The sequence below is a fragment of the Homo sapiens genome, chromosome 19, assembly GCF_000001405.40.
Source record: "Homo sapiens chromosome 19, GRCh38.p14 Primary Assembly".
Taxonomy (NCBI): domain Eukaryota; kingdom Metazoa; phylum Chordata; class Mammalia; order Primates; family Hominidae; genus Homo; species Homo sapiens.
In genome coordinates, this window is record NC_000019.10 from 28621610 (window position 1) to 28648819 (window position 27210).

The 27210-nt window shown below is 40.8% G+C and overlaps 1 pseudogene across 1 annotated transcript in view, besides 1 other annotated feature; it reads right to left on the reverse strand.

The window, feature by feature from the left end:
- LOC100420587 (SHC binding and spindle associated 1 pseudogene) overlaps positions 1-27210 on the reverse strand; it is a 292307-nt pseudogene that overhangs the window by 186222 nt on the left and 78875 nt on the right. The window lies entirely within an intron of this gene.
- Positions 12073-12367: a silencer, noted in NCBI's record as "tiled region #736; K562 Repressive DNase unmatched - State 5:Enh". NCBI's record gives its function as "represses a minimal TATA promoter and a strong SV40 promoter by Sharpr-MPRA in K562 cells {active_cell/tissue: K562}" and the evidence as "EXISTENCE:reporter gene assay evidence [ECO:0000049][PMID:27701403]".

Here is a 27210-nt window from a genome sequence, read left to right on the forward strand (position 1 = left end):
TCTGGGGAAACCCACCAAAAAGAGAGACCTAAAAATTTCTCTAAACCCCTGCCTATAGAGTACAGGCCTGGCAGTCAGCATCCTGGAAGCTGAGTGTGAGAAGAAAACCAGGGGTCATTCAATATAGAAATGTTTATATAACCCCATTTTCAGTACAGCATCCCTGCTGTCTTTCATGCCTAGTGTTTCATCCTCTCTGAGAAAATATACTTTCTGCTTTTTCAAGCCTCATCTTTACCTCCACTTCCAGAAGTACCTGGAAGTGCCAATTTCCGAGCCTTTAGTGGTTCTTCAGTGTAAATCAGGTTGCTTCTCAGCAGACCAGAGAAAGCTGACTCCTAAGCCAGAGTGGGGAGAAGCAATCAGTTCCCACTTGTCCATGTGCTTTTCAACTCCCCAAATTTCCACGTTTTTGTTTCCTCTCCCTTTTTATGAGTTTACACATATCTATATTTTAAATCTTCTTACTTTCTGTTTACGCTCAGAACTGCACTAATATGCTAGTTGATGTATACATTCAATGTTTACGCTCAGAACTGCACTAATATGCTAGTTGATGTACACATTCAATCAGCCATCTATACCTAGAACCTAAGCTGGCTTTCAACCACCAAAGAAATCCATACTTCCCTTTTAGTTTCCTAAGACCAACCAAATACCCTTCCTATGGAACCATAAAAGAGAGAAAAGTTCCCACAATATCTCACTCTGGGCCGTAGTAGATGATAATAGCTATTGTTTGGGACTGCCCAGCTCCATTCCCTTTCTGTGGTTGGGCATATAATCCACAAATAATCAATCATAGCATCTCATTACCCAGGGCAGTGATTGGCTCAGGAGTGGACATATGATTCAACCAAGACCAATCAACATCCTTTCCTGGGACAAATATACAGATGTTGGGAAGAGCAACTGCAATATAAAAAGAGTTTCTAAGATGAAAAGTTGTTAATTTGGGGCTGCCAGGGGCTATCTTTTCAACACATAGAAAACGTCTATCTATAATGAGGAAAAAATAAAGCCAAGCAGAGATGTGTGAGAGAGAAAGTGCGTCCAAAAGAGAGGCAAAGAGAATGCTGATGGCATGCAAAGAGCAAAAACAGAAAGAGAAGGGGATCTGGAATAAGATGAAAAGAATTTTGTAGCATGGACATGGAGACTGGAAACAGATTTTTTAGAATGGGAAACAGGGGAAGAAGCACAAAACTAACAACATGAAAATAGATGAAAGTATAAAACTCACTGTAAAGGTAAAAATGTAGTCAAATTCAGAATACTCTAACACTGCAATGGTGGTGGATACATAATTTTTAACTCTAGTGTAAAAATTTAAACACAAAAGTATTAAAATAACTATAGCTACAATAATTTGTCAATGGGTATGTGACATATAAAGGTGTAAATTGTGACATTAATATAAAATATTGGGGGAAGAGAAGTTAAAAGTACAAAGCTTTTGTATGAAATGAAAGTTAAATTGTTATCAGCTTAAAACATAATGTCTTAACTATAATATGATTTAGGTAAGCCTTGTGGTAAACACACACACACACACACACACACACACACACACAAAAATCTGACATAGATACACAAAAGATAAAGAGAAGGGATTGCCCCTACAAAAAGTCATATCACATAGGAAGACAGCGAGAGAGAAAGAATGGAACAAAGGAAGTACAAAATAGTAAAAAAAAAAAAAAAAAAAAAAAAAAAAAATGGCAATATTAAAATCTTACCCATCAAAAATTAGTTTATATGTAAATGGATTAAGTTCTCTGATATAAAAATACAGAGTGGCTGAATGAATTGAAAAACAAGATTCAGATAAATTCTGCTTAAAAGAGACAGTTTAGCTTTAAGGACTCAAAGACCTGACTTAGGCTTTCAGTCCATGCCTGAAAGGGATAGAAAAATATATTTGATGAAAATGATAGTCATGAAGTCCTTGCCCATGCCTATGGCCTCAATGGTATTGCCTAGGTTTTCTTCTAGGGTTTTTATGGTTTTTAGGTCTGACATTTAAGTCTTTAATCCATCTTGAATTAATTTTTGTATAAGGTGTAAGGAAGGGATCCAGTTTCAGCTTTCTACATATGGCTAGCCAGTTTTCCCAGCATCATTTATTAAATAGGGAATCCTTTCCCCATTCTTGTTTTTGTGAGGTTTGTCAAAGATCAGATGGTTGTAGATGTGTGGTGTTATTTCTGAGGGCTCTGTTCTGTTCCATTGGTTTATATCTCTGTTTTGGTACCAGTACCATGCTGCTTTGGTTACTATAGTATAGTTTGAAGTCAGGTAGCGTGGTGCCTCCAGCTTTGTTCTTTTTGCTTAGGACTGTCTTGGCAATGAGGGCTCTTTTTTGGTTCCATCTGAACTTTAAAGTAGTTTTTTCCAATTCTGTGAAGAAAGTCATTGGTAGCCTGATGGGGATGGCATTGAATCTATAAATTACCTTGGGCAGTATGGCCATTTTCACGACACTGATTCTTCCTACCCATGAGCATAAAATGTTCTTCCATTTGTTTGTGTCCTCCTTTATTTCGTTGAGCAGTGGTTTGCAGTTCTCCTTGAAGAGGTCCTTCACATCCCTTGTAAGTTGGATTCCTAGGTATTTTATTCTCTTTGTAGCAACTGTGAATGGGAGTTCACTCATGATCTGGCTCTCTGTTTGTCTGTTATTGGTGTATAGGAATGCTTGTGATTCCTGCACATTGATTTTGTATCCTGAGACTTTGCTGAAGTTGCTTATCAGCTTAAGGAGATTTGGGGCTGAGACAATGGGGTTTTCTAAATATACAATCATGTCATCTGCAAACAGAGACAATTTGCCTTCCTCACTTCCTAACTGAATACCCTTTATTTCTTTCTCTTGCCTGATTGCCCTGGCCAGAACTTCCAACACTATGTTGAACAGGAGTGGTGCGAGAGGGCATCCTTGTCTTGTGCCGGTTTTCAAAGGGAATGCTTCCAGTTTTTGCCCATTCAGTATGATATTGGCTATGGGTCTGTCATAAATAGCTCTTACTATTTTGAGATACGTTCCATCAATACCTAGTTTATTGAGTTTTTAGCATGAAGGCTGTTGAATTTTGTCAAAGGCCTTTTCTGTGTCTACTGAGATAATCATGTGGTTTTTGTCATTGGTTCTGCTTCTGTGATGGATTACATTTATTGATTTGCATATGTTGAACCAGCCTTGCATCCCAATGATAAAGCTGACTTAATCGTGTGGATAAGCTTTTTGATGTGCTTCTAGATTCGGTTTGTCAATATTTTATTGAGGATTTTCACATGGATGTTCATCAGGGATATTGGTCTAAAATTCTCTTTTTTTGTTGTGTCTCTGCCAGGCTTTCGTATCAGGATGATGCTGGCCTCATAAAATGAGTTAGGGAGGATTCCCTCTTTTTCTATTGATTGGAATAGTTTCAGAAGGAATGGTACCAGCTCCTCTCTGTACCTCTGGTAAAATTTGGCTGTGAATCTATCTGGTCCTGGACTTTTCTTGGTTGGTAGGCTATTGAGTATTGCCTCAATTTCAGAGCCTGTTATTGGTCTATTCAGAGATTCAACTTCTTCCTGGTTTAGTCTTGGGAAGGTGTAGGTGTCCAGGAATTTATTCATTTCTTCTGGATTTTCTAATTTATTTGCATAGAGGTGTTTATAGTATCCTCTGATGGTAGTTTGTATTTCTGTGGGATCGGTGGTGATATCCTCTTTACCATTTTTTATTGCATCTATTTGATTCTTCTCTCTTTTCTTCTTTATTAGTCTCACTAGCGGTCTATCAACTTTGCTGATCTTTTCAAAAAACCAGCTCCTGGATTCATTGATTCATTCAAAGATTTAAAGTGTCGACTTTAAATCTTTCCTGCTTTCTCTTGTGGGCATTTAGTGCTATAAATTTCCCTCTACGCACTGCTTTAAATGTGTCCCTGAGATTCTGCTACGTTGTGTCTTTGTTCTCATTAGTTTCAAAGAACATCTTTATTTCTGCCTTCATTTAGTTATTTAGCCAGTAATCATTCAGGAGCAGGTTGTTCAGTTTCCATGTAGTTGTGCGGTTTTGAGTGAGTTTCTTAATCCTGAGTTCTAATTTGATTGCACTGTGGTATGAGAGACAGTTTGTTGTGATTTCTGTTCTTTTACATTTGCTGAGGAGTGCTTTACTTCCAACTATGTGGTCAATTTTGGAATAAGTGTGATGTGGTGCTCAGAAGAACGTATACTGTGTTGATTTTGGGTGGAGAGATCTGTAGATGTCTATTAGATCCGCTTGGTGCAAGGACTTCATGACTAAAACACCAAAAGCAATGGCAACAAAAGCCAAAATAGACAAATGGGACCTAATTAAACTAAAGAGCTTCTGTACAGCAAAAGAAACTACCATCAGAGTGAACAGGAACATACAGAATGGGAGAAAATTTTTGCAATCTATCCATCTGACAAAGGGCTAATATCCAGAATCTACAAAGAAGTTAAACAAATTTACAAGAAAAAAAAACTGCATCAAAAAGTGGGCAAAGGATATGAACAGACACTTCTCAAAAGAAGACATTTATGCAGCCAACAGACACATGAAAAAATGCTCATCATCACTAGTCATCAGAGAAATGCAGATCAAACCCACAATGAGATACCATCTCACACCAGTTAGAATGGTGATCATTAAAAAGTCAGGAAACAACAGATGCTGGAGAGGAATTGGAGAAATAGGAACGCTTTTACACTGTTGGTGGGAGTATAAACTAGTTCAACCATTGTGGAAGACAGTGTGACGATTCCTCAAGGATCTAGAACTAGAAATACCATTTGACCCAGCCATCCCATTACCGGGTATATACCCAAAGGATTATAAATCATGCTAATATAAAGACACATGCACACATATGTTTATTGTGGCACTATGCACAATAGCAAAGACTGGAAACCAACCCAAATGTCCACCAATGATAGACTGGATTAAGAAAATATGGCACATATACACCATGGAATACTATGTAGCCATAAAAAAGGATGAGTTCATGTCCTTTGCAGGGACATAGATGAATCTGGAAACCATCATTCTGAGCAAACTATCACAAGGACAGAAAACCAAACACTGCATGTTCTCACTCATAGGTGGGAACTGAACAATGAGAACACTTGGACACAGAGCGGGGAACATCACACACTAGGGCCTGTCCTAGGGTAGAAGAGTAGGGGAGGAATAGCATTAGGAGAAATACCTAATGTAAATAATGATTTAATGTGTGCAGCAAACCAACATGGCACATGTATACCTATGTAACAAACCTGCACATTGTGCACATGTACCCTAGAACTTAAAGTATAATTAAAAAAAAAAAGAAAATGATAAACAAAAAAGAGCCAGGGTGGCTATTTTTATATCAGACAAAATAGACTTTAAGTAAAAGAAAATGTCACAAGAGACAGAGAAGGTCATTATATAATGATAAAGTGGTTAATTCATCAAGAGGATATATGAATTGCAAATATATATGCATATTGGGTGCACATTGGAGCACCTATTAAATAAACCAAATATTAATGGTTATAGAGGGAGAAATAGACAACAATACAGTAATAGTAGAGGATTCCCATTTTCTTTCTTTCTTCCTTTTTTTTTTTTTTTTTGAGAGAGTCTTGCTCTCTCAAGGTGGGAGTGCAGTGGTATCATTTCAGCTTACTGCAACCTCTGTGTTCCAGGTTCAAAGGATTCTCATGCTTCAGCCTCCCAAGGAGCTGGGATTACAGGCATGCACCACAAGGCCCAGCTAATTTTTGTATTTTTAGTAGAGACAGGGTTTCTCTATGTTGGCCAGGCTGGTCTCGAACTCCTGGCCTCAAGTAATCCATCTGCCTCGGCCTCCCAAAGTGCTGGGATTACAGGCGTGAGCCACTGCACCAAGCCAGTACTCCCACTTTCAACAATTTATAGATAATCCAGACAGAAAATAAATAAGGGAACAGTGGACTTGGGGGGCTAATGGGCCTAACAGACATATACAGAACACTCCACCCAACAGCAGAAAAATAGAAATTCTTTTTAAGTGCACATGAAAAAACATCCAGGACAAATCATATGTTAGGCTACAAAACAAGTTTTAACATATTAGAAAAGACTGAAATCATATCGATTTTCTTTTCCAACAAAATGGTATAAAACTGGAACTCAAGAACAGGGGGACAGTTGGAAAATTCACAAATATGTAGGAATTAAACAACACACATCTAAACAATCAACAGGTCAAAGAAGATGTCAAAAGGGAAAACAAAAAAAATCTTGAGATGAATGAAAATGAAAAAATAGCATATCAAAACTATATGGCATGCAGCTAAAACAGTTCTAAGAGGACAATTTATAGTGACCAACACCTACATAAAGAGAAAACATCTCAAATAAGCAACCTAACTTTACACTTTAAGGAATTAGAAAAAAAAGAGCAAACTAAGGCCCAGGTCAGCAGAAAGAAGGAATTAAAAATCAAAACAGAAACAAATAAATGAAAATAAAGACTAGGAAAATAATAGAAAACATTAAGGAAATTAAGACGTGTGTGTGTGTGTTTTTAAGAGATAAGCAGAATTGAGAAACCATTAGATAGACTAAGTAAAAAAAGAAAACTTTCAGATAAAAAAATCCTTAAAATTAATAAAATTATAAATGAAAGAGGAAACATTACAACTGATATGACAGAAATATAAAAGATTTCTAGAGATACTATGAACAATTATATGTCAACAAATTGGATAGCCTAGAGAAACAGATAAATTCCTAAAAACATACAACCTACCAAGACTGAATCATGAAAAAACAGAAAATCCAAACAGACCAATAATGAGTAAGGAAATTAATCAGTAATCAAAAATCTCCCAATAAAGACAAGCCCAGTAACTGACGGTTTTACTGGTGCACTCTACCAAACATTTAAGGAAGAATTAACACCAGTCCTTATCAAATTTTTATCTGAAAAACTGAATAGGAGGAAGCACTTCCAAATTCACTTTATTAGGCCAGCATTACCCTGATATTAAAGCCAGACATTATAAGAAGACTACTAATCAATATCCCTAATGAACATAGGTGTAAAAATCTTCCACAAAATACCAGCAAACTGAATTTACCAGTACATTAAAAGGATCATACATTATGATTGAGCAGGATTTATTCTTTGAATGAAAGGATGATTCAACATTCAACATACACAAATCAATAAATGGGAACCCACATTAGCAGAATAGAGGATATAAAACATATGATTATCGGCCGGGCGCGGTGGCTCACGCCTGTAATCCCAGCACTTTGGGAGGCCGAGGCGGGCGGATCACGAGGTCAGGAGATCGAGACCATCCCGGCTAAAATGGTGAAACCCCGTCTCTACTAAAAATACAAAAAATTAGCCGGGCGTAGTGGCGGGCGCCTGTAGTCCCAGCTACTTGGGAGGCTGAGGCAGGAGAATGGCGTGAACCCGGGAGGCGGAGCTTGCAGTGAGCCGAGATCCCGCCACTGCACTCCAGCCTGGGCGACAGAGCGAGACTCCGTCTGAAAAAAAAAAAAAAAAAAAAAAAAAAAAAAAAACATATGATTATCACAACAGATGCTAGAAAAAAAACTGACAAAATTCAACATCATTTCATGATAAAAACTCTCAACAAGTAACAACCATATACGACAAACCCACAGCTAACATGACACTCAACTGTGAAAAGTGGAAAGCTTTTCATCTAAGATCAGGAACAAGACAGGGTGCCCATTTGTATCACTTCCATTCAATCTAATACTGGAAATACTACTAAGAGCAATTAGGTAAGAAAAAGAAATAAATGGCATCCAAAGAGGAGAGAAGAAAGAAATTGTTTATGTTTGCTGATGATATGATCTTGTATATAGAAAACCCTAAACATGCCACCAAAAAACTGTTAAAACTAACAAATTCAGTGAAGTTGCAAGATACAAAATCTACATACAAAAATCAGTAGCAACTATATATACTAACAAGAAAGTACCTAAAAACAGAAATAAACAATTCAATTTACAATAGCATCAAAAATAAAATAATAAATTTAACCAAGGAGGTGAAAACACTGACAAAAAATTGAAGATGATATAAGTAAATGAAAAAATATATTTATGAATTGGAAGAATCAATATTGTTAAAATGGCCACATAATCAAAAGTAATCTACAGTTTGAATGCAATTCCTATCAAAATTCCAATGTCATTCTTCACAGAAAAAGTAAAAATAATCTTACAATTGGTATGAAGCCACAAAATAACACCAAATAGCCAAAGCAATCATGAGTGAGAAGAAAAAAGCTGGAAGCTTCCATATTGTTTAGAAGTTAGAAATGAAACAAAACAAAAAACAAAGTTGAAGGCATCACACTACCTGATCTCAAAAATATATTAGAAAGCTACGGTAATTAAAACAACATGGTACTGGCAGAAAAACAGAAACATAGAACAATGGAACAGAATAGACAGTCCAGAAATATATCCATATGTTTACAGCCAATCTTCAACAAAGGTATTAAGAATACACAATGGGGAAAACATAGTCTCTTCTTCAATAAATGGTATTGGTAAAACTGTATATCAATATGGAAAAGAATAAAATTGGATTATACCATATACAATAATAAACTCAAAATAAATTACTCAAATATAAGACCTGGAAATGCAAAATGACTAGAACATAGGAGAAAAGCTTCTTGACATTGGTGTGGGTAATGATATTTTGGATATGACACCAAAAGCACAGGCAGCAGAAACAAAAATAGACAAATAGGATTATATCAAGCTAAAAAGCTTCTTCACAGCAAAGGAAACAGTTAACAGAAGAGACAACCTACAGAATAGGAGAAAATATTTGCAAGCCGAATATTTGATAAAGGGTTAATTTCCAAAATATATGAAGAACTCAACTCAATAGCAAAAAACAAACAAAAAACAACCAAATAACTTTATTAAAAAACAGGCAAAGGGACCAGCTGCAGTGGCTCACATCTGTAATCCCAGCACTTTAGGAGGGCAAAACAGCAGGATCTGTTGAGCCCAGGAGTCTGACACCAGACTGAGCAAAATGATGAGAAACTGTCTTTTCAAAAAAAGAAAGAAAAAAATATTAGCTGGGTGTGGTGGAGCACGACTGTGGTCCCAGCTTCTCAGGAAGCTGAGGTGGAAGGATCACTTGAGCCTGGGAGGTCAAGACTGCAGTGAGCCAGGATTGTGCCACTGCAGTGCAGCCTGGTTGACAGAACAAGACCCTGTCTCACATATGTAAACACATGGATATATGTCTCAACATAAAACAAACAAAAATCGGCAAAGGACCCAATAGACATAAAAATGGCCAACAGGTATATGAAAAAATGTTCAACATCACTAGTCATCGGGAAAATGAAAATTAAAACCACAGTGAGACACTACCTCACACTTGTTAGAATCGCTATTATCAAAAAGACAAAAAATTAGTATTGGCGAGAATGCCGAGAAAAAGGAATCCCTGTACTTTGTTGGCAGAAATGTAAATTAATACAGCCACTTTGTAAAACAGTAGTGACATTCCTAAAAAAAATAAGAATAGAACTACCATAGGATCCAGTTGTCTCACTTCCAAGTATTGTGAAAGTTGATTATAAAAATTGGGTCATTCTACTGAATGAAAACAGAGTTGAGAAGCCAGAGGGGGAAAACACTCAGGGTACATAACACCGCTCCAAGAATATAATTATTTGCAAGCCTGGCTGTGAAATTGCCTGTAGTAACCTGAAGCCAGTTTTATCTAATAGCTACTGACACAACCTGCTGCAAATCTAGGACTAGTTTTACCATCACCACCACTCACCAATCAGAGCTTTCTTGCTCCCCAGAACTTTACAAGTGCCACGAACTTTCTTGAAAAACAAATACATAACATTTCTCCTTGTTATAAAACTTCCGACCTTCTCTTTGTTCTTTGGATACACCAAAGACCACCCAGTCTGTGTATATCTTCCCAATTGCAATTTTTCCTAAACAAAACATGTTCATGTCAGAGATTCATCTCTATAGTTTATTTGACTTCAACAGTATATATCAAAAGGAAATGAAATTGGTATGTCAATAAAACATGTGCACTCTCATGTTCTTTGCAGCAGTATTCACAATAATCATGATATGGCATCAATCTAAGTGTCCATCAGTGGATGAGTGGATAGAGCACATGTGAGATTGAGATATATATATATATATACACACACACACACACACACACATATATATATACACACACATATATATACACACACACACATACATTTATGTATAATGGAATACTATTCAGCTTTTAAAAAAGGATAATTCTGTCACTTGTGAGAACATGGATGAACCTAGAGGAAGTTACGTTAAGTGAGATAAGCCAGGCACAGAAAGACAACTACCATGCGATTTCACTCAAATGAGGAATCAAAAAAGTTGTTGAGGTTTTAGTTCAAAATGGCTGACTAGAAGCAGCAAGCCCATGCCTCTCTCACAGACAGGAACCACAATGGCAAGTAAATCCTCACACTTCACATAGATCATCTTAAGAGAGCATGCTCGGATTCACCAGAGAACCAATGGGACCCAAGGAAAGCAGGGAACAGTGGAGCCAGGCAGCCTGCGGAGCTGGGACGGTGTGGAGTGAAGAGAGGCTCTTACTCCAAGGAAGGGGTGAATGAGGTGAGAGGCTCCGGGACCCACCTCTCCATCACAGACTTTTACAATCCTAGCCACAGGAGAGCCCCCATAATCCTCCTTAGGCCTCCAGCTGAACACAGAGCCACCCAGAAACTTTGCAGAGGCACCGCTCAAGCCCACCTGGAATCCCACAGTCAGCCTGGTGCCAGCTGCCATGCCAAGGAGGGAGGCGAGGCTCTTTGCACACCCCCAGGAGAGACAGCACAGCTGCTGTGCAGAGGAGCTGCCAGACCACACACCACACTACTCCCGGCCTCGGCTGCTTCCTGCGAAATGGGGCTTACCTGTTGCAGGCCCCCTGTACAGTTGACCCACCCCTGCAGAAACACTGGCCTTGGCTAGGTGTTTCTCTGAGACCCCGACTCCCAGGCCAGGGAGAGAGTGAGGAGGCCTGGGACCTCTGCATGACCCCAAGAACAAAATCCAGAACTGCTTCTGCAGGAGCAAAGTGTGAGTAGGTCATGTGCCCCCCAGGTGCCAATCTCCAGTGCCCTGAGGGGCCCTCCCTTCCCCCAGTGAAAGGCCACCTGGCTCCTGCCTGAGCATTTCCGCTGCAACCACAGCTCTTCTGAGAGCCCAGTCCCCACAGGCCTGTGCTGCCCTCAGGCTCCCACCACCTGGGCCTTCTGTCTGTCCCCTGCCTGAGGGTTCTATCAGCCTCTCAGGGACCAGCCAGCCCCTTCCCCATCACAGCCAGCTCCTGAAGTCTAGGGTGCCCCAACCCCAGTCCAGCCCCTTAACCCATTTATGCCTGAGGTTGCAATTTTTTAAATTTTTCCAATCAGACCTTGGCGATGATCTTGAGCAGTGGGATATAAATAAGTCCCACATGCTTAGTATTCCAGTAATGGAACACTAGGCATAAATGGGTTTTAAGGACCCATACTCTCTGTCCGGTAGGCCGTCTAAGGGCCTGAGAACTGGGGCGCTATGTAGACCAATCCAACAGTGCTGGCACCTAACCACTTTTCCCAGGGCCTGAGGTCAGGCCAGCCCAACCAGTTGACACCACCACAACTGATACCCATCCACAGGGGCTGAAAGGCAGAGTGTATCCCCTGGCCCTGACAATGCAACATCATTACCACATCAAAGGAAAGAGAGCCATACGCTGAAAAGGTTCTGCCCCAAAACCACTCCTGTGGAGAGTCTCAAGACAGGTGTGTTCCACAGCTCTCAACCCACTGTGGCTTGGATGTAGACAACAGTGAGGATCTGAACTGAGAGTCACGAGTTCCAGGACTGGTGTGATTGGGAATAGATCACTTTCCTGCCTATCTAGCGCATGGAGCTAGTGCAGCCCCTTCACCCGATGTAGAGACCTCAGCACATGTCACTGGGAGCTCCCAAAGCCATCTCCACAAGGCTTGGTGCCTATACTTGGCATTGGAGTATTTGTGGGCAAGCCAGGGGGTCCAGCTCTGCCCAGCTCTACCCACTCCCTGCTGAACAGAAAACTCAGGGCACCAGGCACTTCACTGTCCAGCCCATCACCAGAAGCAACAGAGAGCACCTCCCAGTAAACAAAGACCAAGTACCTACCCATCTGCTGTGCCACAAGCTGGCTCTTACCCGTCAGCGCCATCTACTGGCCTGCAGGTTGAACTGCACAGCCAAATATAAAGCCTGGCCAATGGAAGTGCGTGGGCTATAGAAGCAAAGCTTTAGCAACACAACGTACTCCACAGTCACTCCCTAGGGAAAGGGAGGGATGGAGAAAGAAAAAACAAATAAGAAAAAAAAAATCCCATCTGAACAAAAATAAATTCAAAAATAAGAGTGGTTTTCTGTGAGCAGCTGCTCCAGATGAGAAAGAATCAGCATAAGAATTCTGGCATCATGAAAAAATCTGAATGTTGTGACATGACTAAAGGATCATATTAGCTCTCTAGAAATATACCCTAACCAAAATGGAAACTGAGAACTGACAAAGAGTTCAAAGTATAAATTGCAAGGAAATTAAATGAGATTGAAGACAAGGTTGAAAACCAACACAAGAAACTATAAAAACAATCCAGGAAATGATGGGAAAGATAAATATATTTTAAAAAATGCAAAAGGACTTCTTGAAATAAAAAGCCTACTTAAGACATTTGAAAATATAGTTGAAAGCTTTAACAATGGATTACACCAGCAGAAGAAAGAATTTCAGAGCTTGAAGACTGATCATTGAAACTAATTTGTCAAAAGTAAAAATAATTTTGAAAACCAAAGCCAGAGAAACCATATTTCTCTGGTGAGAAATATGAATTATCTAAAGCAATAAAACCTATGACTTATTAGCATTCCTGAAAGAGAAAAAGTAAGCCACTGGAAAACATATTTGAAAATAACTCAAGAAAATTTTCTTAATTTTGCTGGAGAGTTGAACATCCAGATACAAAAAATTCAGAGAACATCTGTGGGATTCTATACAAGATGAACATCACCAAGGCATATGGTCTTCAGACTATGCTAAGTGAATGCTGAAGAAATAAAAAATATTAAAGGCAGCTACAGCAAAAACTCAAATCACCTAGAAAGGAAAATTGATCAAACACTGGACTTCTCAGCAGAAACCCTAGAAGCAAGAATAGATTGGAGGCCTATTTTTAGCCTCTTTAAATAAATGCAAACCAAGAATTTTACATTCTGCCATACTAAGCTTCATAAATGAAGAAGAAATAAAGTCTTCCCCAGACAAGCAAACACTAAGAGAATTTGTCACCACTAGACAGATCCTACAATACATGCTCAAAGGCGTTCTAAATATGGAAATGAAAGTACTATACTCACCATCAGAAAAAGATACCAAAGTACAAAGCTCACAGATCCTATAAAGCAATTACACAATTGAAACTCCAAAACAACTAGTTAATAACACAATGACAGGAGCAAAACCTCACATATCAACATTAACTTTCAATGTAAATGACCTAAATTGTACACTTAAAAGATACAGAGTGGCAAATTGGGTTATAAAAAAAATAAGATGCAACCATCTGCTGTCTAAAAAAGACCCACCTACTGGCTAAAGACACATTCAGACTCAAAGTAAAAGGGTAGAAAATGAGATCATGCAAATATCATGCAAACAGACACTAGAAACTCTTAAAAGGAAGGAGGGTGGAAGGGGAGTGAGGACTAAAATATTACCTGTTGGATACGGTGTTCAATATTTGGGTGATGGAAACACTAGAAGCCCAATTTCTATCATTATGCAGGCAATACCCTTGTAACAAACAAGCACATATACCACCAGTGTCAAAAATTAAAATTTTTTTAAATGAAATAAAATTTCAAACTCACAAAAGCAAAGAATGGTGTTTGCCAGGTACTGGGGATGGGGGAGCAAAATGAGATGTTGCTCAAAGTAAACAAAGTTTGGTAGACAGCATGAGTAAGTTCTGCAGATCTATTGCACCGAATGTACAATAATAATGTATACTTGGAAACTGCTAAGAGAATAGATCTTAAATGTTCTCACTGCAAAAAATGTGCTAGCTTGATTTAATATTTTCACAATGTATACTGTATCAAAACATCACATTGTACACTGTAAAGATATATAATTTTATTTGTCAATTATACCTTAATAAAATTGGCAGGGAGGGATGGGTGCAAGAAATAAAGGATATGAGCAAGAAATGAAAGGCATCTGTGCTGGGCTCGACTTTTCCAATGTATTCACTTGACACATCGGTGACAGTCTCATGTTCTGACTTTTCTGACACTGTAGTCTGGAAAAAACTATCCCCTATATGCAACACAGCCATTAAAACACACACACAGACACACATACACACACACACACACGCAGAGGAACTTAATACAGTAATATTCAATATCACCAACTTTGCCTGTTACCATGGTAACCAGCAGCATTAAGTCCTGCTGCTAAAATTTCAAGAGCAGATGACATGAACTATTTATGTATAATTGCATTTTATAAAGAGAAAGAACTTGTCTTTCATATAAAATATGACTCAGTCTCAGATGAGATGGGTGATTATATCACATTGCCGTCAGAACAAATGTAGCAAGTCCCTTGTCTCCACGCCCTCTACCCCAGTGCATGTTACTTCCATATGCAAGTGGAAAGCAAGATGGCAAACAAGGGTTAGCCTCCCACAGAAAGTGCCTGCCCTGATTTGAGCTGGCGTCACTGCAAAGACGCTCAGGGTTCAAGTATTCACTTCTCCAAATTGAGTTAAGGGGTTCTTTTTCATTTCTACTCTTACAAGCTTGTGCACCTGCTGTCTGTCCCCTGTGGTTGGCTTGTCTTGAGCCACAGCCACTTGTATAAGTCATCAGCATGGAGTGGACATAGACCAGGTCAAAAGCCTTCATCTTGTAGATAGAGATTGAGAGGGGTCATAACTAGATGTTTCTGGAGACAGGGTTGTGCTCAGTAGTGGCATCCATTCGCCAGCAATAGCACAGGCCTAAACTAGTTCAGCATTGGATCATGTTGATTTTTCCCTCATCCGGGGATTTTCTGCAGACATTCTAATGTCAATTTCGCAGACCATCATCCTTCCTGAGCCAAGCTATCAAGGAACAAAAAGAGTAGGTGTTACCTATGTGGTGACAGCTCCCACCCTTGAGCACTGAGCCTTGTTCCTGAGCATTGCAGCACTGTTCACAGCCAAGTGAACCGTCTTCAAGAAGCCTTCGTCACTCATGTGTTCAGGACCAGGAAAAAAGCTTATTCAATAACTAAGTAAGGTTATGTGATTATCTCTTTAATCATATCTTTAATAAGTTTTCTGGGAATGGTAGAGGTTTTAAATGAGAACGTATTCAACCAAATAACGTTGAGCTCCTTAAGGGAAGAAACAAATTCCATGTTTTATTCAAGGTGTGATTCCAATTCTGGGTACAGAGACCCCCACAAAAACGGCTCTGCTCTAATGTTTGTGGGATGGGTGGGAAGATGGACAACGCATGGATGAAAATTCCCAAACAGGAAAATATATCTTGAATGAAAGAATGAACGAAAATACTGGTTTTAGAAAGGAGGGACGGATGGAGAGATTATCAGGGCAGGGAAGATCCCGAAGGAAATGAGCAGGCTTTGCTGAAAGAGTTTCTTGGGCATGGGAAAGACCCAGATGGGGTTGGCCTGCCATTTACCCCTCTGCAGGAAATTCCTCCAGGCCACACCCCACCTTCTCTGATTTTCTCAGCTGCCGAACCTTGATTGAGCTGTGTTCCCTGTTACAATGCCAGAATTGAAAAAGAGAAAACAAATGAGAAAATAAATCACGATAATTTCCCCTGCCTTAACAAGACACTTGCATTCACGTACTGTGTGCCTAAGAAGGGCAGTTACCAGTGCAGTTCTGTAGTGAAAAGGTTTCTTGAGCCAGAGAAAGACCCAGAAATGGATCCTTGGTGGCCATCTGGACAAAGCCCTTAATCAGTCACCTATGATGCCCACTTGCTAGTCCTGCATCCAGGTTCATGGGAAGTCTGCAGCCATGACAGGCTCTGCCTGGGGTTGGCCCTCCACCAAAGAGCCTCCGGTCCCTGCCTCTTGGGGCACAGACCCCTACTGCCCCCAGCCTACTGACCTGCCCCAGGCCCCTGCAGTCTTTATCATCACCGCATCGTGCAGTTTGGGTGGCATCTGGTTCTAAAATGTTCCCAGGCTTCTGCCTTGCTTCTCAGGTGCACCAGTCTTTTCACACATGGGTGGGCTTCTCTGAAGCTGCTGCAGTTACTCCCAGTGGCCAAATCATTTCTTACTTCCCTTAATAAACAAGGCAACAGGGTTTTGATGAAAGAGTTTCTTCTTTGGAGGGCAGAACAGCTTCCTTGCCTTGATTAAAATGTTTGCCAGCTGTTTCTCATTCTGGTCTCAAGGTGGCTTAAATCTTCAGGAAAGTCAGACACTTCACTCACTGGTAATTATTTTTCCTTATTAAAAATCTATTTGCCTCCATGTGACCAACATGCTACTCTCCATCATGATGTTGAGCCATTCCCACCTCTTCCATCCATCTCCACTCCAATTTGGTTTTATCATCTGATCCCACCAGGTAAGAGAAAGCAATTAGCCCTCTGCCCTTGAAGTTTGACCCCGACAAGATTAATCCGGTTCCTCGGAGTGTCTGAGGACCTGGTGAAAACAAGCAGGGCCTTTTGTCAGGTCTCTCCTCACACCTGTGAAGGTCTCTGTTCATGACTATGGGGCATGACAGCATTCACAGCACAAAACACTTCATCAACATTCTAAGTATACCCTTGCAGCTCAAAATTGTCAGCACTTGAAGGTTTTCCTCTTCAGAGATGGTCTTATCACAACAGCACTGTGTGGTCATTCTCCTGAGTGCTGCTGCCCTGCAGATAGGTCCAAAGCCCAACTTGCAGAGTCACTTCTTCACGTTGCGGCCCAAGATGCACAGGACTTCTGAGGTGCTGAGGTTGAGGAAAGACCGGATACAAGAACACCTCAAGAATTTTGTACCCAGAGGGCAGAGCCCAGACATAAATGTTTTAAAAGAAAGACGATTTTCCATGATCTTGGAAATTTCTAGGTCAGACTGCTTTCACACCTATTTTGGAAAAGGGGCCTACTCCATCCCTGCATCAACCATAGCAAAGAAAGTCAACAAAGACCAAAAATATATCTGAATGAATGGGTTTTCATTCATTCTTTCAACAATTTATTGGTTGATTACTCTGCATCAGGCAAGGTTCTAGATGAAGGCACTAGAGCCTCTATTTAATCTGAATTTATCTTTTCAATACATGAGCCAAATTCTGCTGACTGGGAAGCACTAATGAGACAATTAAACAGAAGTCTAATCTAGAGTGACTGGGGCGGTGCTGGTTCACTTTGTTTAATCAGGGCAGGCTCTTTAAGGAAGCCCTTGAAGGCATACATGGGAGAGCCTGCTCTCCCTTGCTGGGCCTGGCCACCTCTACCCCATCCTCCTCTAAAAACAGCGTTTTCAAGATCAAAGAGGCTAAACTGACACCACTGTCAAAATCTAATTAAAACCTCTCTTCTTCTAGTAAAGATGTTAACACTGGATAAAGCAGATCTTCATCCCCAACAAAAAAAGAACTTGTTTTAATTAAACATCCAATTTTAAGTTGGTTTTATTGCTATTGTTGTGTTTTTGTTTCCATTTGTGCCAGACAGAGGACAGGAAGACTGTAATCTCTTACAAAACATACGAACATATGTCCTAGATGGCAAGATCCCTAGGCATCTTCCTCTGAAGTCCTCAGTCGCACTCTCACTCACAGACATCTGCTGGGGTGGAGGGACTGTCAAAAACTTTTTCAGGTAATCTGGTGAGATGTATTCAAAGACTTAAAAGTGTATCTTTTTTTTTTTTTGCACTTGTCTTTAATTATTTCCTTAATCTCTGGAAATGGAATTTATCTGCAGTGAGGTTCATTATAGTGCCATTTGCAAAGCTGAAAGGCTGGCAACAACCTAACTGTCCAGCCACAGGGGATAATGACGCATTCATCTACTGGGGCATGGGGCACGAGCCCATGAGAAGGTGACATGATTTACAAGAAATCTAGAATGTGCTGTTGAGTGAAATGGTATGGACCAGTATGATCGCATTGTCATTGATTTTTACCTGTACATTCATAAGCTCGAAGAAATCCAGACAGTTAAATCTCAAAATATTCAGAGGAGTGACATTGTGGAAGATTTTTATTTTCTCAGCAACATTTTCTTATTTTACAAACATCACATATATGACTTGAGTAATTTTTTAAAGTTAATGTTTAAAAGAGAACAAAATAGTTGCCCAGAGTAACCCTGTCTTTTAAGTATACCTCCTACCCCAAAGTGGGCAGTAACTGGCTTGTCTGGCACCCATGGGTGATCTTGTCTAAGCTTGCTGCCCTGTTCTTAGGGTCGGGGGCTACCTGGGTATTAACTTGAGTCTGTGGATTGCTGTGAAGTCATTGAGAAGGAACACAGGCCCTCCCAGAGTGCAGGCACACTTGACCATGCAGTGCCCACCCTGCCAGGACTCATGGGAGAACCAGCCATTCTGCTCAGCTCCCGGTTAGTCAGTCCCTTCCCCGCTCAATGTTTCCAAGCACCCACCCTCAGTGCATTTACTGAGAGTCCCCTGACCATCAGACAAGGACTGTCCACAGGCCGTGAGGGAGGGAGGGGCATCACCGAGGCTGCTGGGCCTGCTTTCACATTGCCTGTCCGTGGCATGGAGGTTCCTCCCTCCCTGATCCACCCCTTGTTCCCCTGCCCATGTGAACGCTGGGATTGGGCCTGAGAAAGAAGGAAAATTGCTTCGGCTTCCAAGACTAGCCTTTCTCATGTTTGTCTTGAGTGTATTTCTGAGCAGAAAAACAAGCTTCACAAACCTCATGACTCACCTTCATGTTTTCTGTATGCTTCCCTCTCCCCTGCCTTGTCTCACTGATCCCTTGAGGCTCTCCCTCCCCAGCCCACATTTACTCCATAGCTTCCAGTAGAGTTTTTCAGGTTCCCTGCAAAGTGCAAATATACACACAATTCTGTGAGTCAGGCAGTATCTTAAAGAGGTTCCATCACACCCGAAGGTTTGGAGTCACTAGCCTGTTTGTGACATGTCTTCAAGGATGAACGAAAGATTTGAACTCTTCAGCCTTAAAATAATAAATAAAACCTGAAAATGAAAAACCTCACCAAATTAAGCTTCTGCCCATTTTAGAAAACAAGGGCAACCACGGAGGAGATGACTCAGTTCTTAAAGACAAGGTTACCCAAATGGGTGCATTGTGGGATCCAAGAAGGATGCTTCTGAGCTTGTTGAGCTCAGCATCAGCACAGACATCTAGCTAGTCCGAGAACTCAGATAGGGACCAGGCTCTGTCCTGGTGGGTTAAATCTTAAATCTCTATGTAGCCCATTACTATCAGCAAATGGATCTTTATTTAAGCTCTGATCTTGTATTGTGTGTATATCCTTCTCCCCAGCTCTGAGCTCTCTGAGAGGACAGCCTACAGTTTTTCCATTTCTATCTCCAGGGCCTACTCCCAAAAGATGAACCTTCAACTGTCTACATTGCACGTCTGGGCCTTCAGCATCGCTGATGCGCCAGCTGGCACCAGCTTCAGCAGCCCAGCGCATCTGCTGTGCTTGCATCTGCCATGTCATCGTGGGGTCCTGGGCCCCTGAATGCAGCAGGCCAGCTTATGTGGTCCCATCCTCTGCATCTCTGTCTGCCTCTGCAGTGCAGACGGCTCTGAAGTCACACCAGCCTAACTTCCAGGCCCAGACCTCAGGGGGAGCCAGATTGCCATATCATTCCTGTATCCAGATCCAGATTTTTCCTGCTGCCTCTGTTCTTCCTAGGCCGCCCCTGTTATTCAGGCCATCTCGTCCCACTGCCAACATGAGCACCAAGAACTACATCATTCCATTGCTTTCAGCATTCCCTCCATCAATGGTGGCACCGTACACAGCTGTGTCTGTGTAAAACAAGAGTTCCCCTGCCTGAAGTATGTGGGGGGCCCTTTGCTGAAATATTTTAGCTCAGATTCTTTTAGAAGAAGTTTCACTCTTTTCCATGAGGACTTTTCTTTCATCCTCAGGCATCAAATGCCCGTTAGAAAGTTCTCAGTTTTGCCTGCATGTCAATGTTTCTAAACAGTCTCATTTTTATTCCTGTTGTTGTGAAATAAATGCCTTAATGTCCCCCTTGCCCATACTGACTGTTACAATCTGCCTGGCCATGCCTCGACCTTCCCAGATACCATGCACCTGTCCCCCTTGCCCATACTGACTGTTGCAATCTGCCTGGCCATGCCTCAACCTTCCCAGATACCATGCACCTGTCCTACGCCATAATTAAAATTTACTGCAATCTTAGCTTTGTCATCTGGACCGTGCCATATAAAAAGAAAGGCACAACCTCAGAATGTTTTTCCTTCTAAATTGCTGTAAAATTATGAGTTATGTCAACTACAATAAAACTTCAATTATTCAGATGCACTAGGGGAACATGACCAAATTTTGAATGAGTGAAGCAGCTTTACAAAAAAGCAGAAGGTGCGTAAGGAAAGAAGCGAGATTTCAGAGCTTCTCATTTCTGCTACAGGACAATCAGCCTCGCGCTGCAGCAGAGGACACAAGGAACCCACCTCGGAGTAAATCAGAGAGCACACCACAAATCAGCTCCCCTGATAGGGTAAGGTGGAAATACACTACTGGAGGGAGGCCTCTCTCCTGTGCCCATGTGAGATGTTGGCTATAAACCCCATCCTGGCCAGAGCAGTGATTTTCCACTAGGCAAATTTAAATGTGTGTTATTGTCTAGTATGTGAGATAACAAAATTGAAGATAAACTTTCACTCACCAAAAACTTGCCATATCTCAAGTAGAGTGTCCTCCCTCTTTCTTGCCCACATCTCACCTTCATTCTAGTCATGGGTGCTTATAAACCCTATTCTGTTAGAGACAGAAAGGGTTAACAAGCACCATGAGCCAACACAAGTTCAAGATATCATATACTTTTGATTGTCTGTTTTGAAAACGTTTATGCCGAGGGAAATGTTAAAGCAGGTGTCCGAATTAGAACAAGTGTCCATGTAATACAAGAAGATGGATTTTGGCTACCAAGAGCCACAAGAGCAGAGACGGAACCAAAGGCAAGATGACGTGTCATGAGTTACAAGGAAGCAGAAGGCAAGCCACCCACATCTCCTTTAGTTCTTTAGGCATTTAATCAGCTAGAAAAGCTGGTGCCTGCTGCTCCACTCCCAGTGGCCTATCCATTATCACTAAAATAATAATGACAAATTGAGAAAGGCACAGAGGACAGGCAAATGTGAAGCCAAGTGTTGAAGACGGCAACAGGAGGTGACAGCCAGCAGCCCTCAAACACCAGAAGGAGCCAGTGTCGGCCTTGGGGGCCTCCTCCTCTGGAGAGCAAAGCCAGCTGTCTACATTCATAGCCCACCAGAAAGGGCAGATGAGACAAGGAGGGCTGCAGGACAGTGACAAAGAATTCAACCCCGGAGCTGCATCAGCCCTAAAGCAGCCTTGCCTCATTTCTGCCTGAGTAAGAGCAAGCCCTGGAATCACAGTGAAGGGATTACATTAGACAGGACCTACGTTAGACAGGAGCAGGGGCTCTGACACCTGGGCTTAGCTGGGAGCTAAGGGGGAGCTGCCCTCTGCAGGCTGGCTCACCAGACTCACCTGCAGAGTTGGCCACTCAAATGGCTATCTAGAGCCCAGCCTCCGCAGCTGTCCAGCAGTCCCCTGCTTTTGGGTTGCAGACTCTAGCACCCAAATTCCAGAATCCTCTCTTGTCTCATGAGCTCATAGGTTAAGGTACAGCCTGGTTTATTATCCTGCACAAAATCCTAATGACTTAAATTAAACAACAACAACAACAACAAAAAACAGAAAGGCCCACCAAGCACCCAGAACTCCCTGGAGCTCCAGCTTCTTATGTCCTAAATATCAAAACATCATCTTGTGACTTCATTATTCTCTGTGTTTCCATTCTTTCTATAATTCCCTTCCCAACAACCTTCACCCAGGTAACTCCTGCTACTCCTGCTCTTCTGCAGAGACCACCTTGCATACCACCCCTCCTCTCCCGTTACATTAGAGGCCCAGTTGAGCATTTTATTTTACCTTTGGGACATTTATTCCTTTATTCACTCAGCAAATATTTATTGTGCATCTACTAGTCATAGGCACAGAGCTAGACAATGGGGATTCTGCCATGACCAAGAAAGAAACAAACAGTCCATGTCTTCTTGGAGCTTGCCATCTAAAGGGGAAGACATCATTAACAAGACAAAACAAACATCGTATGATAGCATATGATGCTAGATAGCATATTAAATGCTAGATAGAAATTAAATGCTAGATAGCATATTAAATGCTAGATAGAAACAGCACACTGAGCTATGAGAAAACAGCACATGCTGGACCTGAGGTGAGGCCACTACAACTGAAGCACTACTGTAAACTTACACAGTTTTCCTTCCCAGTCCCACCACCTCCTGACAGGAAGCACTCTCCACAAGGCAGGGCCCCATGACCAGCAGCTCACACCACAGCACAGGGCACCAGGCACGATGAAGGGTCGGCGAGGGCAGGGGCTCTTCACCCAGAAGACTCTGAACTCTGGCTTTCCTTCACCTTCCTCTGCACCCAGTTGCACAATTTGTTCCTCATAATTAATCCATTTGACAAGTGAGAAAACTATTTTCAAAGTAAACAAAATAAATCAAAATGGTGCTAACTTCTCTCCCTAATGTCCTCCATCAATCATGGATGACTCGAGCTTTTTAAACAGAGAAACTGGGGCAGTGGAGGGAGTGAAAAAAGTTTTAAACTCAACTGTGCTCCCAACTCTATAACATTAAGATGCTGGAATTGATTTGTTGTTAAAAGGAGAGTTGCAAGTACTATCTATGCCTAGAAGGAGGAGGGAAAAAAATCAATAGTAAACCATGTAATTGGGAGAGGGGTGAAGTAGAAAAGGGTATATTCCCTACTGACTCAGAGAAAAACGCAACAAAGAGTCAAAACACCCTGATTTAATGCCTAACTTAAGGCTGCACAAGGCAGAGCGACAGTGCCAGGAAGATGTAGAAGAAGGAAGTGTTAACTTGAAATGACTCTCACCAGCCTCTAAGGGCAGGAGCTGAACTGTTTGCTGAAAACCAAAAATTCACAAAGGAATAGTGGGAAAAGAGGAAACAAGGATAGCATAGGTCCTCCAGAGAAAGACAGAAGACAGAGCAGCCAGCCTTCCAAATCGGAAGTCACATGCTCACCTCCACAGTGCCTGTAAACAACTTTTTTTTTTTAAGTTTTTATTTATTTAATTTTGAGACAGGGTCTTGCTCTGTCACCCAGGCTGGAGTGCAGTGGTGTAATCATAGCTCACTGCAGCCTGGAACTCCTGGGCTCAAGCAATCCTCCTGCTTCAGCCTCCTGAGTAGCTGGGACTATAGGCACATACCACCATACTAGGCTAATGTTTTAATTTTTTGTAGAGGGCGGGCTCTCTCTATGTTGCTCAGGGTGGTCTCAAACTCACGGCCTAAAGTGATTACCCCAACTCGGCCTCCCAAAGCATTGATATTACTGGCATGAGCTACCACACCTGGCTCTTTAATTTTTGTACAGTGTATTGCTATGTTGCCCAGACTCAACTTAAACTCCTGGCCTCAAGGTATGCTCCCACCTCAGTCTGTCAAGCGCTGGGATGACATTCATGAGCCACCACACCAAACTGCTTAAGGTTTTGCCATTCAAATTAAAAATAAAGGCAGGCACACTAGGATGGCTACAGTAAGAAATATGGACAATTGCCAGGTGTTGGCAAAGATGGGAAGAAATCAGTGGGAATGTAAACTGGTGCAATCTCTTTGGGAAACATTCTGGCAGTTCTTCCAAAAGCTAAACAGAGAATTCCCATATGATCCCAGCAATTCCACGCCTGGGTATAAACCCAAGAGAACTGAGAACATATGGCCAGAGAAAAACTTGTACATATATATTCATAGCAGCATTATTCATAATAGCCAAAAAGTGGAAATAAACCAAATATCCATCAACAGGTGAATGGATAAACCAAATGTGGTACATGCACACAATGGAATATTCACATATAAAGAGGAATAATGCACTGATACATGCTACAATATGAAGGAACCTTAAAAAATGCTGAGACAGTAGCTGGACATAAAAGACAACATATTGTATGATTCCATTTATATGAAATGTCTAGAAGAGGCAAATCCATGGATACAGGAGTTGGCTTAGTAACTGTCAGGGCTGCAGGAAGGAGAGTGGAATGAGAATGACTGCTAGAAGTACAGGTTTCTTTTGGGGTGATCGACATGTTCTGGGATTAAACAGTGCTGATGACTGCACTCCTTTGTGAATATACTAAAAACCACTGGATTGAACACTTTAAAAGAATTTTATGATATATGAACTACATTTTAATAAAAAGAAAATAAGGGCAGAACATATATGGTAGGAGGTGGTTAACCTACTTGACAAATTTATCTCATCATCATAAACAATACAGTAATCATTAATAAGATATATATTTAATAAATCATGCCCAATTTAGCAACACCTTGAAGTAGATGGTTTGAGGTTAAGTATTATGGCCCTGAAAATGGTAAAAATATTACTTTTGAAACATTTTGTAGTATCAAACTTTTAATAAATTCTATCTGGCTTCCAATAGCTATGTACATTAGGCAGGTATTATGGGCTGAACTGTCTCCCCCACAAAATTCTTATGTTGAAGTTATAACTCCCAGTACCTTAGAATGTGACTGTGTTTGGAGATAGGGCCTTTAATAAAGAGGTAACTACGTAAAATGAGGTCCTGTGGTTGGGCCCTAATCTGATACGAGTGGTGCCCTTCTAAGAAGAGATTAGGATGCAAACAGGAACAGGGGAAAGACTACGTAAAGGACAGGGAAAAGACGACATCTACAAGCCAGTAAGAGAGGCCTTGGGAGAAACCACCCTGTCAACACCTTGATCTCAGACTGCCAGCCTCCACGACTGTGAGAAAATAAACCTCTGTGGTTTAAGCCACCCAGTCTATGGTACTTTGTCATGACAACTCTAGGAAACTAATACAGAAGGCGTTCATGTGTTAAATTCAGATTTAACTCTATATTTATTATATGCTGAAGCATATGATAGTGAACTAATAGAGTGAACTAACCATTACAAGAGCTATTCCATTTTCTAAAAGCCATCATTAAGCATTTAACTATAAGGGTCCACCGCCAAAGTAAAACATATTTTTTGTTTTTTTTTAGAGACAGGGTTTCACTCTGTCACCCTGCCTGGAGTGCAGTGGTGCAATCACGGCCCACTGCAGCCTTGAACTCCTGGGTTCAAGTGACCCTCCTGTCTCAGCCTCCCCAGTAGCTGGGACTACAGGTGCATACCACCATGCCCTTCTAATTATTTTTACTTTTTTTCTGTGGAGACACGGTCTTGCTATGTTGCCCAGGCTGGTCTTAAACTTGTGACTTCAAGTGATCCTCCTGCCTTCTCCTCACAAAGTGCTGGTATTACAGACATGAGCCACTATACCTGGCCTAAAATTCTTTTTAGAAAATTAAAATACTTTTGTGTGTGTGTGTGTATATATACATGCATACTTTAAAAGAATTTTATTATATATGAATTACATATACGTGTGTATATATACACACACACACATACATACACACACACACACACACACACACAGTAGAATATTACTCAGCCACAAAAAGAAATAAAGCACTAATAGATACTTTCCTGGGGTATCAACGTGGGTTGCTACAACCTGGAAGAACCTCAAAAACATTATGCTAAGTGAAAGAAGCCAGTGACAAAAGGGTACATACTGCATTATTCCGTTTAGATGCTCTATCAAGAACAGGCAAATCCAGAGACAGAAAGCAGATTAGTGGTTACCAGGAGGTGGAGAAGGCAGAAATAACGAGTGGTTACTTAATGGGTACAGGGTGTTTTTCTGGAATTAATAAAAAAGTTTTGAAACTAGAGACAATTGATGCTTGCACAACATTTAGTGAATATCCTAAACGACACTGAATTGTACACTTTGAAATGGTAATTGTATGTTATATGAATTTCACCTCATCTAAAAAATCATACTCCTACCAGTATAGCAGGATACCTCTTCCCACACAGGTTCTAAGAAAATAATCAGCTAAGTGTACAGTCATGCATGGGTAAAAGTGTTTGTTTTAGCATGTGTATTGTTAAAATGTTTTATAATAGTGAAAATTTGCCTAATGTTCATCAAAGAGTAGATAAATAAATCAGAGTTCATCTATATATTGGAATACTAAACAACCGATAAAAACAATTAGGTAGATCCACACAAAAAAGTCCCTTCACTTAGAAGCATATTAAATTCCTAAGTGCTATTAAAAATGTAACTGTTGGCCAGTGAAAATGATATTACACACCTGAGGACTTGCCACCTGTCAGTAGAAGGCAAAGCTGAACTGTGTTCTGTCCCAGCTTTATTTACATGGCTTTGTTCACGTGGCTGCAGTTCCCAGAGCAGTGCCTGGCACACAGTAGGTGCTCAATAAGTCTTAGATGGATGAATATCTAGGAAGAACCATTAAATTTTAAGTTTTAAGAGGAAGTTCTGTAGTTCATATATCACAGACATTGCACTTTGTCAATAAGTAGAAAGAAGATTACAAACAATGTATCTGGAAAGCTGCCATTCTGAGAAATATAGACATATACATATGTAATATGTGCCAAGAAATAAGTCCGGAGACATACACATTAAAAAGTTAACAGTGATTATCTTTACATGGTGATATTATAAATGATTTAAAAATTTTCCTTTGCATGTTGTCTGAATTTTTCTTTTAACAATAAGCATAGACTACTTTTCTAATCAGGAAAAAATTGAAAAAGCAATAAAGCTATTTCCATGTAGAAAATAAATTCCTTTTATTATCTATAATTCAATTCTGAAGACTAT